Source organism: Homo sapiens, chromosome 1, assembly GCF_000001405.40.
Source record: "Homo sapiens chromosome 1, GRCh38.p14 Primary Assembly".
NCBI lineage: Eukaryota > Metazoa > Chordata > Mammalia > Primates > Hominidae > Homo > Homo sapiens.
In genome coordinates, this window is record NC_000001.11 from 112,640,843 (window position 1) to 112,658,073 (window position 17,231).

The 17,231-nt window shown below is 38.2% G+C and overlaps 1 protein-coding gene and 1 non-coding gene across 4 annotated transcripts in view; both read left to right on the forward strand.

The window, feature by feature from the left end:
* The window catches only part of CAPZA1 (capping actin protein of muscle Z-line subunit alpha 1), a 51,785-nt gene that overhangs the window by 21,011 nt on the left and 13,543 nt on the right, over positions 1 to 17,231 (forward strand). For all 3 annotated transcript variants that reach the window (XM_017002424.3, NM_006135.3, XM_011542225.4), the window contains exons 2-5: positions 6,368 to 6,431; positions 8,576 to 8,627; positions 12,756 to 12,819; positions 13,623 to 13,829. In XM_017002424.3, the coding sequence (XP_016857913.1) occupies positions 6,368 to 6,431; positions 8,576 to 8,627; positions 12,756 to 12,819; positions 13,623 to 13,829 (387 nt within the window). The remainder of the gene's footprint in view (positions 1 to 6,367; positions 6,432 to 8,575; positions 8,628 to 12,755; positions 12,820 to 13,622; positions 13,830 to 17,231) is intronic.
* LOC124904810 (small nucleolar RNA U13) lies at positions 11,746 to 11,846 on the forward strand. Its single transcript, XR_007067406.1, has one exon. It is a non-coding gene; the product is annotated as a small nucleolar RNA U13 (small nucleolar RNA).

Here is a 17,231-nt window from a genome sequence, read left to right on the forward strand (position 1 = left end):
AGACATGGGAGACTTTTCATTTTGTTCTGTACTAAGAGAAGTTCTTCTGCCTTGGGATCCTGTTGATCTGTGACCTTACCCCCAACCCTGTGCTCTCTGAAACATGTGCTGTGTCCACTCAGAGTTAAATGGATTAAGGGCGGTGCAAGATGTGCTTTGTTAAACAGATGCTTGAAGGCAGCATGCTCATTAAGAGTCATCACCACTCCCCAATCTCAAGTACCCAGGGACACAAACGCTGCGGAAGGCCGCAGGGTCCTCTGCCTAGGAAAACCAGAGACCTTTGTTCACTTGTTTATCTGCTGACCTTCCCTCCACTATTGTCCTATGACCCTGCCAAATCCCCCTCTGTGAGAAACACCCAAGAATGATCAATAAAAAAAAAAATAAATAAATAAATAATTGAAAAAAAAAATTTTAATTTGCTTTATCATACTAGTAACATTATATTTCTTATAACTTTTTGAACACAGAGGTAAGCCAAAAAAAGAAAACAATTTTTTTTGTACTAGAGATAGTCCCAGTTAAAATTTAGTAGCTATACATAGGTGTAAATATATATAATTTCTAAAAGACCAGGAAAGAAGTAAAAGCCCTTTTCATTCAACAGCACATTATAAACATATATAAACAGCATATTATAAACCCATGTCAACAAATGGAGCACTTCTCAAACTTTTTTACTGTCAGGACCCCTTTACATACTTAAAAACTGAATTTTTTTTTTATGTGGCTTATATCTGTTAAATTAGATATTAAAACTGAGGCCGGGCGCAGTGGCTCACACCTGTAGTCCCAGCACTTCGGGAGGTGAGGCGGGTGGATCATTTGAGGTCAGGAGTTCAAGACGAGCCTAGCCAACATGGTGAAACCCCATGTCTACTAAAAATACAAAAATTAGCGGGGCCTTATGGCACGTTCCTGTAATCCCAGCTACTCAAGAGGCTGAGGCCGGAGAATCACTTGAACCTGGGAGGTGGAGGTTGCAGTGAGCTGAGATTGTGCTGCCGCACTCCAGCCTGGGTGACAGACTGAGACTGTCTCAAAAAAAAAAAAAAAAAAAATACTAAAACTGATTTTTAAAATAACTCATTTGAAAATAATAAACCTATTACATTTAACATAGTTATTTGTTGTTTAAAAAAAAACCTTTATTTTCCAAAATAGAACAGGAATTAGTGTGACAAGTCACATTGTTTTACATTTTGCAAGTCTTGTAAACTCCTGCGTTCAGTTTGTTACCACATGTTGTCTTAGTTTGTGTATATTGTTTCCTGTACTCGGAATGCCTTCCTTGATCTTAACTACTCATCCTCCAATCCATCTCAAACATCACAGCCTCTGAAGACTACCCCGCACCTTTTTTTTTTTTTTTTTTTTTTTTTTTTGAGACAGAATCTCACTCTTATCACCCAGGCTGGAGTGCAGTGGCGCAATCTTGACTCACTGCAACCTCTGGTACCTGGGTTCAAGCAATTCTCCTGCCTCAGCCTCCCGAGTAGCTGTGATTACAGTTGCCTGCCACCGTGCCTGGCTAATTTTTGTATTTTTTTTAGTAGAGATGGGGTTTCACCATCTTGGCCAGGCTGGTCTTGAACTCCTGACCTCGTGATCTGCCCACTTTGGCCTCCCAAAGTGCTGGGATTATAGGCGTGAGCCACCGCGCCTGGCCGACCACCCTCTTTTTAATGTAGGTATACAGAGTTGATTGCATCTTCCTTTGTGCCTCACTCTGCATTTATTACCTGCTTGCTACATTACTATCTAGGCATCAGGTCCTTGAGGGTAGTGACAATGTCTTATCCAGTCTTCGGTCTTTATTTATTGATACTTCTCTTCCTAGTTTGCCGAATGGGTGAATTATTACTTTTTTATATGCGGTATCAGTTCATCTTCTATCGAAACAAACTGCTGTTCTTTCATTTGTACCAATTCCATCAGATTTTGTAACTTTTGAAAATTTGGGTGGGACTTCGGGAATATTAGTATCTTGAATTTTCAGTTTGGTAATTTTATTATACATTCAAATATTATGTTATATAAGTAGTATGTAAAATATGGCTGTGGCTTTATTCCTTTTTCCTTGCAGGGAAGTTACTTTTTTGATAGTGTGTGAATATGTATATACTTATTTTTTGGATTACACACACTTGACCGAGGAGTTTTATAATTATGTAAAGATTACGGGAAATGCACCTTGACAGAAAGGGGATAGACCATAGCTCACTCCACAGATTTGTCACAAATAGACCAAAAAAAAAGGTTTATTATTAAAAGTAGGATTACTGATTTTTTAAATAAGAGATTGATACCAACAGTTGAAAAGTGCAGAAATGTGATTAAGTGTACATGCCAAGGAAAATATAGATAGAAATCTTTATTGTAACGGTTAGTCCTATGTAGCATAATTTTCATGAGTTGAGCAGGATTTCTTCCTGATTAGAATCTCTCTTTTTATTGTTTTTGCTCAGTTAATATAAGGAGCCTTATGGAGCATTTCCTCTCCACCAGTTTTCATCCCAGAAAAAATAATACACTATCTGTAATTACCCTGTCAAGGCAGGGTTCTAAAACTTTATGTACCTAAGAATATTCTAACATGTATTTTTGTGGCGTGAATTCCTGATGCCTGTTTCCAGGTAGTCCACATACCAACTTTTGTCTTCCAAGTCTTAAAAAATGTGTAGGATTTGTAGCTAAAAGAAATTTTGCAGATCTTCTAATATGACTCTATGAGGAGATGGATTATCATGAGAAAACTCAGGACCGAAAAAAGTTAGTAATGTTTCTAGAATCACAAATCTAGTTAGCTAATGGACCAACAGAGACAGTTATTGGAACCCAAATTTTCCATTCTACCTTGCTCCATCAATCACTAGGCCTTTCTTGACTAACGGTTTCATCACAGAGCAGCTTTTCTTTGTCCTTTTCAGAATAAGAGTGAACTTACAGTAAGATTATCTGTATAAGCCTAGGAATACTAAAGTTGTAAAGTATTTCTGTTTTGTTTATTTTCTTTTTTGAGACAGTCTCACTCTGTCGCCCAAGCTGGATTGCAGTGGCGGGATCTCGGCTCACTGCAAACTCTGCCTCCTGGGTTCAAGAGATTCTCCTGCCTCAGCCTCTCAAGTAGCTGGGATTACAGGTGTGTGCCACCATGCCCGGCTAAGTTTTGTATTTTTAGTAGAGACAGGGTTTCACCATGTTGGCCAGGTTGGTCTCGAACTCCTGACCTCAAATGATCCACCTGCCTCAGCCTCCCAAAGTGCTGGGATTACAGGCGTGATCTACCACACCCAACCCAAATTGCTGGGTTTTTTTTTCTAATTCTCTTCTCCCAGCTTTTTTTTTTTTTTTTTTTTTTTTGAGACAGAGTCTCCCACAGTTGCCCAGGCTGGAGTGCAATGGTGCAATCTTGGTTCACTGCAACCTCCACCTTCCGGGTTGAGGTGATTCTCCTGCCTCAGCTTCCCAAGTAGCTGGGATTACAGGTACCCACCACCACACCCAGCTAATTCTTGTATTTTTGGTAGAGATGGGGTTTTGCCATGTTGGCCAGACTGGTCTTGAAGTCCTGACCTCAAGTGATCCACCCACCTCAGCCTCCCAAAGTGCTGGGATTTTACAGTCATGAGCCACTGCACCTGGCCCCAGCTTTGTATTCAAGAGACTCTTGAACGTATTTTTTTTTCTGCTGAAGAATAGTTTGATGGGGTCATCAATAAACTTAAAATTGTTTGAAGGAAATAAGTCAACAGAGGATAACTAGCTAGAAATAAGGCTCAGTTTATTGTTAGATATACCATGTTCTTCTTTGCCCTACCTTAGGGAGTTGAATCATCTTCATACTCATTATTACATCAAATATTAGGGAATTTTCATCCTTTCTCTCATAGTATGTTAGAACTATACTGAGAGACCCATTTGTGGTGAGTCCTATTTATTATCATTACTAGCATTATTACTATGTATAGATACTGCCAAATATCTATATATTGGTATTGCCAAATGCCAAATAGATAGGAGCCATTCTGGAGGATCTTACATCAGTTTAAGAATCAAGAAGGAAAGGATCCAGAACAGTCTTAGAGTAGATTAACTGGAGAATTGCTCTCTGGCTAGTTGGACCACTTAGCTCCTCCCTTCTCTCCTCTTTGGGCTAAGCTGAAGACAAAAACAGCATTTGTCCTCAGAATATAGCACTGAGTATGAGCACTGGGACCATAGATGCAGAGTGGTGTCCCACATAGCCTGTGGACCTTAGGCTCACTCAGAAGATAAACTGCTCACATACCCTGATGAGCAGAAGCAAATCTACTCTTTCCCTCCCCTGTAGTCACTAGAGGCAAGCTACCAGCAAACAATAGGCAAACTAAATTAAAGTCAGAGCACCATTTATGGAAAACCAATACCATGAAGGGGAAGAATCAAATTCAATGAGGATAGGATCTAAATTTTTAGGAAACAATCAGTAGAACAAGACTTTAAAATCGGTAGTTATACTGGGCACAGTGGCTCACACCTGTAATCTCAATGCTTTGGGAGGCTGAGGTGGGAGGATCACTTGAGGCCAGGAGTTTGAGACCAGCCTGGGCAATATAGTGAGACCCTCTCTCTGCAGAAAATTAAAATTTTTTAAAAATTAGCCAGGCATGGTGAGGCACACCTGTAGTCTTAGCTACTTGAGAGCTTGAGGCAGGAGGATCACTTGAACCCAGGAGTTTGAGGTTACAGTGAACTAGGATCACACCACTGCACTCTAGCCTGAGCAACCAAGTGAGACCCTGTCTCTGAGAAAAAATAACTACAAAAATTAAATAAGTAGTTAGTGTCCTCATAAAGATATTGTATACACACTAAAATAAATTGCTTTGCTCTACATACTTGCCAGTGCAAAAAAAAAAAAAAAAAAGACAAAAGGAATTACCAAAAATCTTGGAAATTAAAAATTGAACAGTCAAAATAATTGTTATGCTGGGCCTGTTGATGAGTGCCTGTAGTCCCAGCTACTCAGGAGGCTGATGCGGAAAGATTCCTGAGGTCAGGAGTTGGAGGCTGCAGTGAGCTATGATCACACCACAGTACTCCAGTCTGGGCAACAACATAGCGAGACCCTGTCTCTTAAAAAAAAAAAATGGAGCAGGAAAATGGGCACAGACGAAGAGCATATTAATGGATTGGAGTAGAGCATTTTCCCCAGACAAATCATAAAATGACAAAAAAGATAAAATATAGAGGAAAACAATGAGATAAGCGGATTAGAACCTAACATTTTATCATCCATTTATAATAGTATATCCAGAAAGGGAGAATGGCAACAGGGGGCAGAGGACAGAGGCTAGGTTGAATAACAGGAGAAATATTTTCCATAGCATTCCTTGTGCCCTCTAATACAGTGGTGAATAGTAGAGGTGATAGGAGTCATCTTTGCCTTGTGTTTAAAGTTGATGACTTAGGGCAGGCACGGTGGCTCACACCAATAATCCCAACACTTTGGGAGGCCGAGGCCAGAGGATCACCTGAACCTAGGAGTTTGAGACCAGCCTGGGCATGATGAGACCTGTCTCTACAAAAATAAAAATTACGAAGTTAGGTGTGGTGGCACATGCCTGTGGCCCCAGCTACTCAGGAGGCTGAGGCAGGAAGAGCGCTTGAGCCCAGGAATTTGAGGCTGCAGTAAGCCTTGATCATGCCACTGCACTCCAGCCTGGACAACAGCCAAGACCCTATCTCAAAATAAATAAATTAATAAAGTTAGTGACATTGCTTATGTTTCATTATTAAGGTTGTTGTAGAATTTTGGTAGGTAGTCCTTTATTAAATTAAAGGTGTTTATTTTATATCTACCAAAAATTAATAGTTTTGGTTTTTTATGATATTGGAGTAGGTGTTAATTTTTTTTTTTTTTTCAGCATGAGTTGAGATGATCACATGGTTTTGGTCTTTTAATTTGTAAGTTACAGTAACTTATTATATTGAACCGTCCTTGTATTGGGAGAATTGGTATTGGTATACTATTTAATTTGCTAATATTTTATTTAGTTTTGCTTAAATGTTCATAATCAAGATCATAGCTTTCTCTTTTTGTGAATGTAATGTATTTGGTCAAAAACTATTATCCTGTTTTTGAAAGACGAATTCAGATTTATCAAAACACGTATATTCCCAAATCAGAATGTACCTATATTGATAGTAACAGCTTTGGGGTGCTTTATGAAAAGAAAATTTGAAGACTCCTAAACAGTAAATGTTTAAACAGAACATTTTTTTCAAGGGATATGATGAAAATTTATAATTTGTTAATTATTTCTCCTTTTATATGTTACTCTTCATAATTCTCCTAAGTGTAAATTTTGTTTCTCTTTAGGTACGCATAGCTGCTAAATTCATCACTCATGCACCCCCAGGGGAATTTAATGAAGTATTCAATGGTGAGTAAAGATTAGTATTTTAATCCCTCCTTAATTACCATTATTTATTGAGTACTTGCTGTCTGTTTTAATTCTTACGACTTGTTGTAGCCATAGCTAAGTAAATCAAGATTCAAAAAAATTGAAATAACTTGTCCAAGGTCCCCCAGTTAGTAAATGTCAAAGCAAGAATTCAAACCCAGGTCTGAGTGAAAATAAAGCTCCTAACCCATAAATTAGGATGCCTATCTTATGTGAGAAAAGATTTAATGCAGATTAGTATCAATAAATGTAGAAACAATACTAAATTATTTTCATAGTTTTATTTTTATCGTTATAGATCATAGCTTAATTTTCTTCATTGCTTTCACTTAGGAAGTCACATGATATGGAACACTTTTTTGGGCCAGTGGGGCTGAACGGACTATATCTGGGGAGCTTATTAAATATGCAGATTCAACTTTATCTTCCCCTCAAGATTCACATTCATTAGATCTGAGGTGGAACTGGTTAATCTGTATTTCATCAAGTTCTTTACCAGGTGATTCTGAATCGCAGCAGGTTGGGGAACCACAATTAAATACATTTACAACTTTCCATACTATCTGCTGTCTTAATACATTTTACAAGATGGAAAATGTGATGGAGCATCTTAAACTTCATGGTGAAATAAATAATCATAATCCCATTTTAAGTTATTAAGTTTGTCTTAAAGATGCCTTAAGCAAAATAATAATTGTTGTGCATCTTGGTTCAGTTTAGCAAACATTTATTTTGAGATTCTAATTTTATATTAGAAAGTTAGCTACTCGAGAGGAACTGTATGATATTCCTTTGTACCTGGCCCAGATGGTAGAACAGTCAATAATAATCTTTATTGCTAAAATTGGAAAAAGTAACTAGGAGAAACATAAACATTTGCTTCAGGGAGTATAAGATATAATAGAAGTAAATCAAGATATTTTTTCTAAAATTGTTTGTGGATTTTGAGCACCAACAGCAAAGGAAACAAATGCAGCCTTTTTCTAGTCTTTTACATTGACTAAATGTAAATTCTTAGTAACATTTTTAATAAATTTTCCTGTTGAATTTTTCTTTTTTTTTTTTTTTTTTTTTTGACGGAGTCTTGCTTTGTTGCCAGTCTGGAGTGCAGTGGCGTGATCTTGGCTCACTGGAACCCCTGCCTCCCAAGTAGCTGGGACTACAGGTGCTCACCACCACACTTCGCTAATTTTTTGTATTTTTAGAAGAGATGGGGTTTCACCATGTTGGCCAGGATGGTCTCGATCTCTTGACCTCATGATCCGCCTGCCTCAGCTTCCCAAAGTGCTGGGATTACAGGCGTGAGCCACCACACCTGCCCGAAATTTTCAATTTTCAGTAGAAAATTCTTCTTGAACTTTAGCTCAGATAAATTCTTAACTAACAGGCCAGGCGTGGTGGCTCACACCTGGAATCCCAACACTTTGGGAGGCCAAAGTGAGCAGATCGCCTTAGGTCAGGAGTTCGAAACCAGCCTGACCAACATGGTGAAACCCCGTCTCTACTAAAAATACAAAAATTAGCCAAGCATGGTGGCAGGTGCGTGTAATCCCAGCTGCTCGGGAGGCTGAGGCCGGAGAATCTCTTGAACTGGGGAAGCGGAGGTTGGAATGACCCAAGATTGCGCCATTGCACTCCAGCCTAGGCGACAGGAGTGAGACTTCGTCTCAAAAAAAAAAAAAGGTGACTAGACTTCTGATACACAGCTTTTTAAAAAGGTTGTAGACCCCACATTAGATTCTCCAAGGTTAAGAATTTCACTCTTACTGACTGAATTGTGCCCAGCTTTCTTGATATGATGTTGTAGAAACGCCTGCAATTCTTAATCTATGCTCATATTAAAGGATTCATTTAAATACAGAATTAACACTCTTTAACTGTAGCTTTCTGTAAACCATGTTTGTCATTTGCTATAAAGTTCCTTGAGACTATATAGCACACATAATTGTACACAAATCTGTGAACATTAGCATCTTTTTATTTGCATGTTTAGAATTTCTACTCATATAGTACACCTGAAGACTAATTTTACAAAGCCTGACATTTAAAAATTCAATCTAGAAATCTGCTAAAATTTCTCAAATTTATCCTCCACTGAACATTGTAACATTTTTCCTCCTCAGACGTTCGGCTACTACTTAATAATGACAATCTCCTCAGGGAAGGGGCAGCACAGTAAGTATCTTTCCAAATCCACTTAGAATGTTACTCTAACATTGGATAAACTATGTTGACAGTAAACTAGCACCCTGAAAACAAAGTTTAAAATACTTCAAAGTAAAGCAGTTGGTTTTAGCAATTTTCGTTGTTTTTTTTAATTGGAGAAAACATGTTCCCCCAATTGTTGTTTACTTCCTCAAAGCTTACTATAATATATGAACTAGTTTTTATTTCTGCCCACATTTGCCCGATTAAAGCAGAGTTTAATGTTAGCTGTTAGGTTTTCCTTTATAGTTGTTCTAGTTCGTGTTGAATTTTTTTAAACAGCTAGCTATACATAGGAATGATCTGCCAGTGAGGAATGATAATGTTTAAGAATAGCAAATATTAATAAAGTGCCTTAATAGTTAAAATTAACCATAAGATAAAAGCATGATTAGCTTACCTAGTCATTGACTCCTTACCACTCTGAAGCTAATTAATCTTTCTAAAATATTTTCATTGTGTCCTTGCCTTCAAAAATATTACGGTGGTGCCTCTTTTTTTTTTTGATATCTTCTATAATAAAATCTAAACTTGCTGTAGCTTTCAAGGCTCCCTGTTGTCTGGCTTTATCACTACTCTACTTTTCAACACAAAGTTCTGTTTCAGTTGCTGTCTACCCAACTGGCTCAGAGTTCCTTTGTAAAGAGTTGGATAATGGCTAGAGTGGGTAGGGATGGGGAGACAGGACAAGGACATGTTGATGCAGAGCAACAAATAATTATCATAAAGTCATTGGGTATGATATATAATTGGTTTAGATTTTAGCCATAGAAAACAGTTGTAAGAGCTGCTGCCTGGGAAACAATAATCTGCCCTGTCCATGCTGCTTTTTTGGAACTCATTTTGGGACTAGATTCTGCAAACGTAGAATTTGCACAGCTTTACTGTAATTGTCATCGTGAATGATACCCTAATTATACATTGATTTAAGGAAGCTAGGCTCACATCGGAGATATACTCTAATGATGGTTTCTCTTAGATTCATAGAATCTGCCATAGAAAAGGACATTCATGATTTGCTAGTTTAACTCCTCTCTACTTTCTTTCACTGAAAGAATCTCATCAACATCTGTCAATAGACAGTTATCTAATCTGAATGCTTCTAATAATAAGGAATTCACAATCTCACAAGGCAAGTTCTTCAATTTGCCTGCCATATTGGTCCCAGTTTTATCCTTGAGAACTACCCACAGTAAATATGCTCTGTACGTCACTTGATAAGCTGAAAGGGGTGGATGTTGAGTATCACCTAAGTGTCATTGCAACCTAAAGCCTGTTATCCTCTTTCCAATAGAACCAAAGAGAAGTTGGTATGTAGCTTCTCGGCCTTTTGGCTAAGATTAAGAGAAGTTGGTATGTAGTTCAGATACTTCATTTTCTTTAATTGCACTGACACTAAAGCTTTGTATTTATAACTATTCTGGTTCTTATAGACTATAGGTTCTTGGGGAACCCTCTTGTTAAGAGAATTTTCCTGGACCCAAATATTTGATTTTCCATAGAGAAGAAAAATTCAGTTTTATTTCTGTATTAAAGCATTTCAGTCCCTTGGCCATAGTCCTCATAGTAACTGCTCAATTAATGTTTTCATAATCATTGTCATAATTATTGCCTTCAGTCTGTATAAAATGAAGGGCTTGAAGTAGCTAAGATTTACCATCTTTCCTGGATTTCCACCAGTTTCTGGCCACCAGAACCATCCCCAGATAATTCCAGCGCTTCTGGAATAAATAGGGTGTTGTAAGTTATGTTAAAGAGTGAATTTCATTCTGACAGAGATAGGAAGTAAGATTGTTTTGAGTAGAGAATAACATAATGAGACTTATATTTTAGAATAATCACTAGCTCCTGTGTAGAGGGGCAAAAGCTGAGGTAAGATGAGTAATTCCAAGACAATGAGAATAGTTCAGGGATAGATGCTACTGGTTGGACTAGAGTGGTAGCAGTGGGGGTGGTGGGAAGAAGTCAGATTCTGAATATGTACTTAAGTAGAGCCTACAAGATTTACTGATGGACTGGATGTGAAGTGTGAGAAAAAGAGAAGAATCAAAGATCACCCCAAGTTTTTGGCTTAGGCAGCTGGTAAAATGGAGATGCTGTTTACTTGAGATGGAATTAAAGGTAAGGACATTTTGGTGTTGGTGTTGGTAATCTATAGTCTTAGGACATATACTAGAATAAAATATTTACTTCCTACTCGTTTTTTTTTAAACTAACATTTATTCTACTTTTTATGAATAAATTGTATCCTTTCTGAAGAGCTAATGTGTTTGGGATTAATTTTGCTACATGGGGATGTGGTGTTTTAAGGAGTAAAACACAGTAATAACTTTTGGCTGGGTGTGGTGGCTCACACCTGTAATCCCAGCACTTTGGGAGGCCAAAGTGGGTGGATCACCTGAGGTCAGGAGTTCGAGACCAGCCTGGCCAACATGGTGAGACTCCCCCCGATCTCTAAAGAAAATACAGAAATTAGCTGGGTGTGGTGGTGCGCATCTGTAATCCCAGTTACTTGGGAGGCTGAGGCAGGAGAATCACTTGAATCCGGAAGGCAGAGGTTGCGGTAAGCCAAGATCGTACCACAGCACTCTAGCCTGGGCAACAGAGTGAGACTGCATCACCCCCACCCCCCAAAAAAATAAATACACAAAGTATACAGTAACAACTTTTAACAAAATAAGATTGAAAATTAGCTTTAGAGGCTGGGCACGGTGGTTCATGCCTGTAATCCCAGCACTTTGGGAGGCTGAGGTGGGCGGATCACCTGAGGTTGGAAGTTCGAGACTAGCCTGACCAACATAGAGAAACCCAGTCTCTACTAAATATACAGAAATTAGCTGGGCATGGTGGCACATGGTAATCCCAGCTACTCTGGAGGCTGAGGCAGGAGAATCGCTTGAACCCGGGAAGTGGAGGTTGTGGTGAGCCAAGATCACACCATTGCACTCCAGCCTGGGCAACAAGAGCTAAACTCCATCTCAAAAAAAAAAAAAAAAAGCTTTAAATATTTGAAGAAGTTTAAATGTTTGTTACTTTGCTTTATCTTGAGAAGCCTAGTTTTAACCACTGCTTAAAACTAGTGGTCTCCATCCTTTTGTAGTTCATAAGTGTGATGGTTGAGTTTTCACATGCATGTGTGAGATGTGCCTCCCTCAAACCTTGTTATGTTGGCACATTACCTGTCTGACATGGGGAAAAAAAAAAACTAGCAGTCTATTTTAATAGGTTAAAATTGGGAATTCTGTGAGAAGACTGATACTTTTTAAGAATATAAGTGTAGCTCTTATTTCCATCTTTCTTTTATCTTGTCTTTTGCTTTAGCTTTGTAAAATGTATTAGAGAGCCATTAAAAATGCAGAATTTCAAAAATCAAGCTTTGGACAAATAGTAATATTAGGCATGTACTTTGATTATTTATGCATTCCTCTTTTAAAAATAACTACTTTGTGCCTGAGGCTCTACTTTTATACTTGACTCATGCTCAACTCTCACTTCACCTTCTTCGCATGTCAGATGCCTTCTGACATTTAATTATAGTTTCTCGTGACTTTGAGAGCCAAGAAAAAAGATCATTTCCAAAATAGTGTATCAATGGAGGATTCTTTTGAATTACTGAAAGCTTCTGCCCAAATGATTAAAATTGTTGGCAGTTCACAATAATTAGATTGCTTCAAACTTTGGAATTAGCCGAGTGTGGTGGTGTGCACCTGTAGTCCCAGCTACTCAGGAAACAGATGGGAAGATCTCTTGAGCCCAGGAGTTTGAGGCCAGCCTGGCAACGTAGTGAGACTCTATCTCAAAACAAACCAACTTTGGAATTGTCTAAGCAGAAGGTCTTTTGGAGCTCAGGAGCAGAGAGGAAAAGGTAATTTCAGAGTTTAAGGAGCTTCCAAGATCTCCGTAGAGAGGAGTCCCTTCAGAAAGCTGGAAGGCATTATGTTAACACTGGATGTCTGGGGAGAAGGGAAAAGTACAGGGTACTATTTTCACATTTCCTTTCACTATTCTGTGAACCACCTTTTGTGTTTATTTACACATAATTCTTTTCTCTCTCCCTCTTTTTTTTTTTTTTTTTAAAAAACTTTTAAAAAAAAACAGTGCATTTGCCCAGTATAACATGGATCAGTTCACGCCTGTGAAGATAGAAGGATATGAAGATCAGGTAATAATTGCCTTTTAGACAGGCTATGCCTGGCAGATAGTAGAGATCCTATTAATGGAAACCAAAGCAGATGTCTGAACCAGGTGCTGAATAAATTTGTCTTAGTTTTTATAGTTTTTGTGTGTACTGTACGTGTTAGGATATTCTTCTCTTTCTCATAACACTAGCAGTTTCTTTGACAAGAAAGGAGAGCAGCCTCTTAACAAGAACAGTGAAAATGGAAGTATTTAAGTTTTACAGGTTTTCCAGCTGTCTTTAATTCTCCTTGATAAGAGTAACAACAGACATTATATTTAATGGAAAAACAGAGGCGTTCCTCCTGAAATTTAGACTACTTATTTATTACTTTAGGATTTTGGTGGTTGGGAAATGGGATGAGAAAACAGTTCACTTTGTGTATTTTTTCATTTTTGAACCATGTGAATGTATTACCTATTTTAAATGCTAAGTGTAATGGCCCTAAAGTTTCATAATGACTCTGGAAAAATATGTGAAAAAAATACAAAAGTGTACATAAAAGTTATTACAGCTATGTATAAAGTACATATATAGTTATGTATAAGTATATATTAGAAACCAAGAAATGAATATTATTAGTATGGGGGATATTTTGTAGTTTAAAGTTGACTTATTCATAAATACAATATTCTTAATAATACGGGACTTGGTTGAAAAATTAATATGAAAGAAATCTGACTAAATGAAAAGTTAACTGCCTCAGAATTTTTATTGATGTGTTTCATAAAAGGCAGTAAGAATTGTCTTTTTTACAGTTACTCATATGTTTAATGATTCTTTGGAAGGTCTTAATTACAGAGCACGGTGACCTGGGTAATAGCAGATTTTTAGATCCAAGAAACAAAATTTCCTTTAAATTTGACCACTTACGGAAAGAAGCAAGTGACCCCCAGCCAGAAGAAGCAGATGGAGGTCTGAAGTCTTGGAGAGAATCCTGTGACAGTGCTTTAAGAGCCTATGTGAAAGACCATTATTCCAACGGCTTCTGTACTGTTAAGTATCTGACTGCTTCGTTATCAGAGAGTGTTTTCTTATATTTACCTTATCCTTTGGAGGCTTTGGCCTACCAAACATCCCTACTTTCTTCTTAGCCATGCTCTCTTCTCCTCTGCATTTTATTCCCTAAATCATTTTGGAAAGGGGTATAAATGAAATTTTTATATGGAAAATTTCTTTTTAAAATCCCAATGCACAAAAAATTTAGGTATCAGTGTATTCTGTTTTCACATTTGACTTATGAAAAATGCCTTACACCCATCAGAAAAAGGTCTTTGGTTTTTCTTTTTTTCTTTCTTTTTTTTAAATTAACCTTTTAAATTAATTTTTTTTTGTTTGTATTTTTACCCAGATCTAAAAGGTCTTTGGTTTGGACATGGAGAAAAAAATGGTATACTAAGATTGTTGAGAGAGCTTTTGCTCATATTTATGGCTTTTTGATATAGGCATTTTTACACAAACTACTTCTACATAGTTTAGATGTTTATATTCAGTAATCAAAACTATTAGAACTAAACAATTGGCTGGACATGGTGGCTCATGCCTGTAATCCCAGCACTTTGGGAGGCCAAGGTGGGCAGATCACTTGAGGCCAGGAGTTCGAGACCAGCCTGGCCAACATGGTGAAACCTTTACTTAAAAAATACAAAAAGTAGCTGGATGTGGTGGTGCACACCTGTAGTTTCAGCTACTCAGGAGGCTGAGGCACAAGAATCACTTGAACCAGGGAGGTGGAGGTTGCAGTGAGCTGAGACCACACCACTGCATTCCAGCCTGGGCAACAGAGTGAGACACTGTCTCAAAAAAACAAAAAACAAAAAAAACCAAACAATTTTTTTTTAATCAGGAGTGATTTTCTTTTTGTTGTTGTTTTTGCTGTTGTTGTTGTTGTTCTTTTGTTTTTTGAGACTAAGTCTTACTCTGTCACCCAGGCTAGAATGCAGGGGCACCGTGTCAGCTCAATGTCACCTCCATCTCCTGGGTTCAAGCAATTCTCCTGCCTCAGCTTCCTGAGTAGCTGGGATTACGGGTGCCCACCACCACACCTGGCTAATTTTTATATTTTTAGTAGAGACAGAGCTTCACCATGTTGGCCAGGCTGGTCTCGAACTCCTAACATCAGGTGATCCAGCTGCCTCGGACTCCCAAAGTGCTGGGATTACAGGCGTGAGCTGCTGCACCTGGCCTAATTTTCTTTTACTCCCTCTTGACTGTAAAAATAGATAAATTTGGCTTTATTATTTTTCCTTTATAAAATTATGGCATATTAAGAAAAATATTGATTAGAATATTTTTTATTTTTAAATTGACAAAAATATGATATGTACAACATGATATTTTGAAATATGTATACATTGTGGAATGGCTATATTGAGCTAATAACATGGATTTCTATACATATTTATCATTTTTTTGTTGTGGGAAAATCAGCAATTTTCACTAGAATATTTTAAATATACAATGATGATGAATTACATGGCAGTCTAGAATACAGTTAAGAGCACCTACTTTGAAGCCTTACTAACTGGTTTGATTCCTGGCCCTGCCAATTAATTAGTTGTGTGACCTTAGGTAAATTACTTAACATCTCTGTGCCTCAATTCTTTGACTGTAAAATGGAAATAATTGTTTTTATCTCATAGAGTTGTTGTGAAGATTTAATGAATTAGTAATATATGTAATATATGCCTGGAACAGTGCCTGGCACAAAGTAAGCTCTACATAAATGTTAGATGAATGTTAGGCTAGGTGTCATTATGTTTGATTTTTTTTTTTTTTTTTTTTTTTTTTAATGAGAATACCCATTATGGTGGACTGGACAAGTATAGAATTCCTGTTGGGAAGCCAGTATTGCAAAGGGGAGACATGATAGACTCCCATTTAGAAATTGACTGTTTAATCCTAAATATACTTTGAATTTATTGTTTGTTACCTGTTCAAAGTTTGTCACTACCCATTCTTAATTTGGAGAGCTCCAGCACCAAATAACCCTACTGTGTCCTTAGCTATCAAATGACCTACAGAAAGTCATGGAATTGTTGTGATGGTGTCTGCTGTATATAAGTATCCTATGTCTTATGTCTTCAGCTGACCTGCTTAGTAGTCCGTAATTTCATCTCCTTATTCCCTATCACATTTTCTACATAGTATGTTCCAAACATTTTTCATTGTCCTCTGACAGGCATCTAATCCCCCATGTTTTGTAAGGATTGAAACTGACAGAAATTTTTTTTTTTTTTTTTTGAGACAGAGTCTCACTCTGTCTTCCAAGCTGGAGTGCAATGGTGTGGTCTCGGCTCACTGCAACCTCCCCTTCCTGGGTTCAAGCGATTCTCCTGCCTCAGCCTCCTGAGTAGCTGGAATTACAGGCGCCTGCCACCACACCTGGCTAATTTTTGTATTTTTAGTAGAGACGGGGTTTCACTGTGTTGGCCAGGCTGGTCTTGAACTCCTGACCTTGTAATCCGTTCGCCTCAGCTTCCCAAGTAGCTAGGACCACAGGTGCACACCACCATACCTATCTAATTTTTCTCTGTGTGTGTTGTGTGTGTGTAGGGACTACAAGGCATGAGCCACCAGGCCCGGCCTATTTCTCCTTCTTTGTCTGCCCTTTCCACCTTGCCCTTTCTCCCTCTTCTCCACTTTTTCCCTTCTCTCATCTCTCTCTGCATCACCACCACGTCAGTACATATTCTTTGCCTGCTAATGCCATTTCCTCTATCTACTTCTGAACCCTTTAATTTTTTACTTTAGTCTCCATTCTACAGAAACTGCTCTGAGTTTACTAATGGTTCCTGAGTTACCTGGTCCAGTGTCCTTTTCCTTGTCCATGACTTCCGAATGGCATTTCACACTGAAGCCAATCAACCACTTCTAGAAATTATCTTTTACTTAGGCTGCTGTCAGCAACCCCTAATTCTTTTTTTTTTTTAGAGATGGAGTTTTGCTCTTTTTGCCCAGGCTGGCGTACAGTGGCATGATCTCAGCTCACTGCAACCTCCGCCTCTCAGGTTCAAGCGATTTTCCTGCCTCAGCCTCTCTAGTAGTTGGGATTACAGGTGCCCACCACCACACCTGGCTAATTTTTGTATTTTTAGTAGAGATGGGGTTTCACCATGTTGGCCGGGCTGGTCTTGAACTCCTGACCTCAGGTAATCCCCCTGCCACAGCCTCTCAAAGTGCTGGGGTTACAGGCTTGAGCCATTGCACCCAGCCCCCTAATTATTCTTACTCTATACTAAGTTCTTTTTTTCCCCTACCTTTGTAAATGTAGGCATTCCCCCAAAGTTCATAATTCATTTAATGCAGGTAAAGTAACACAGACTTCGGTGTCACAAAAACAGTGGGTTTGGATTCTACCTTTACCACTTCCTGAGTGACCTTAGGCAAGAAGCTTT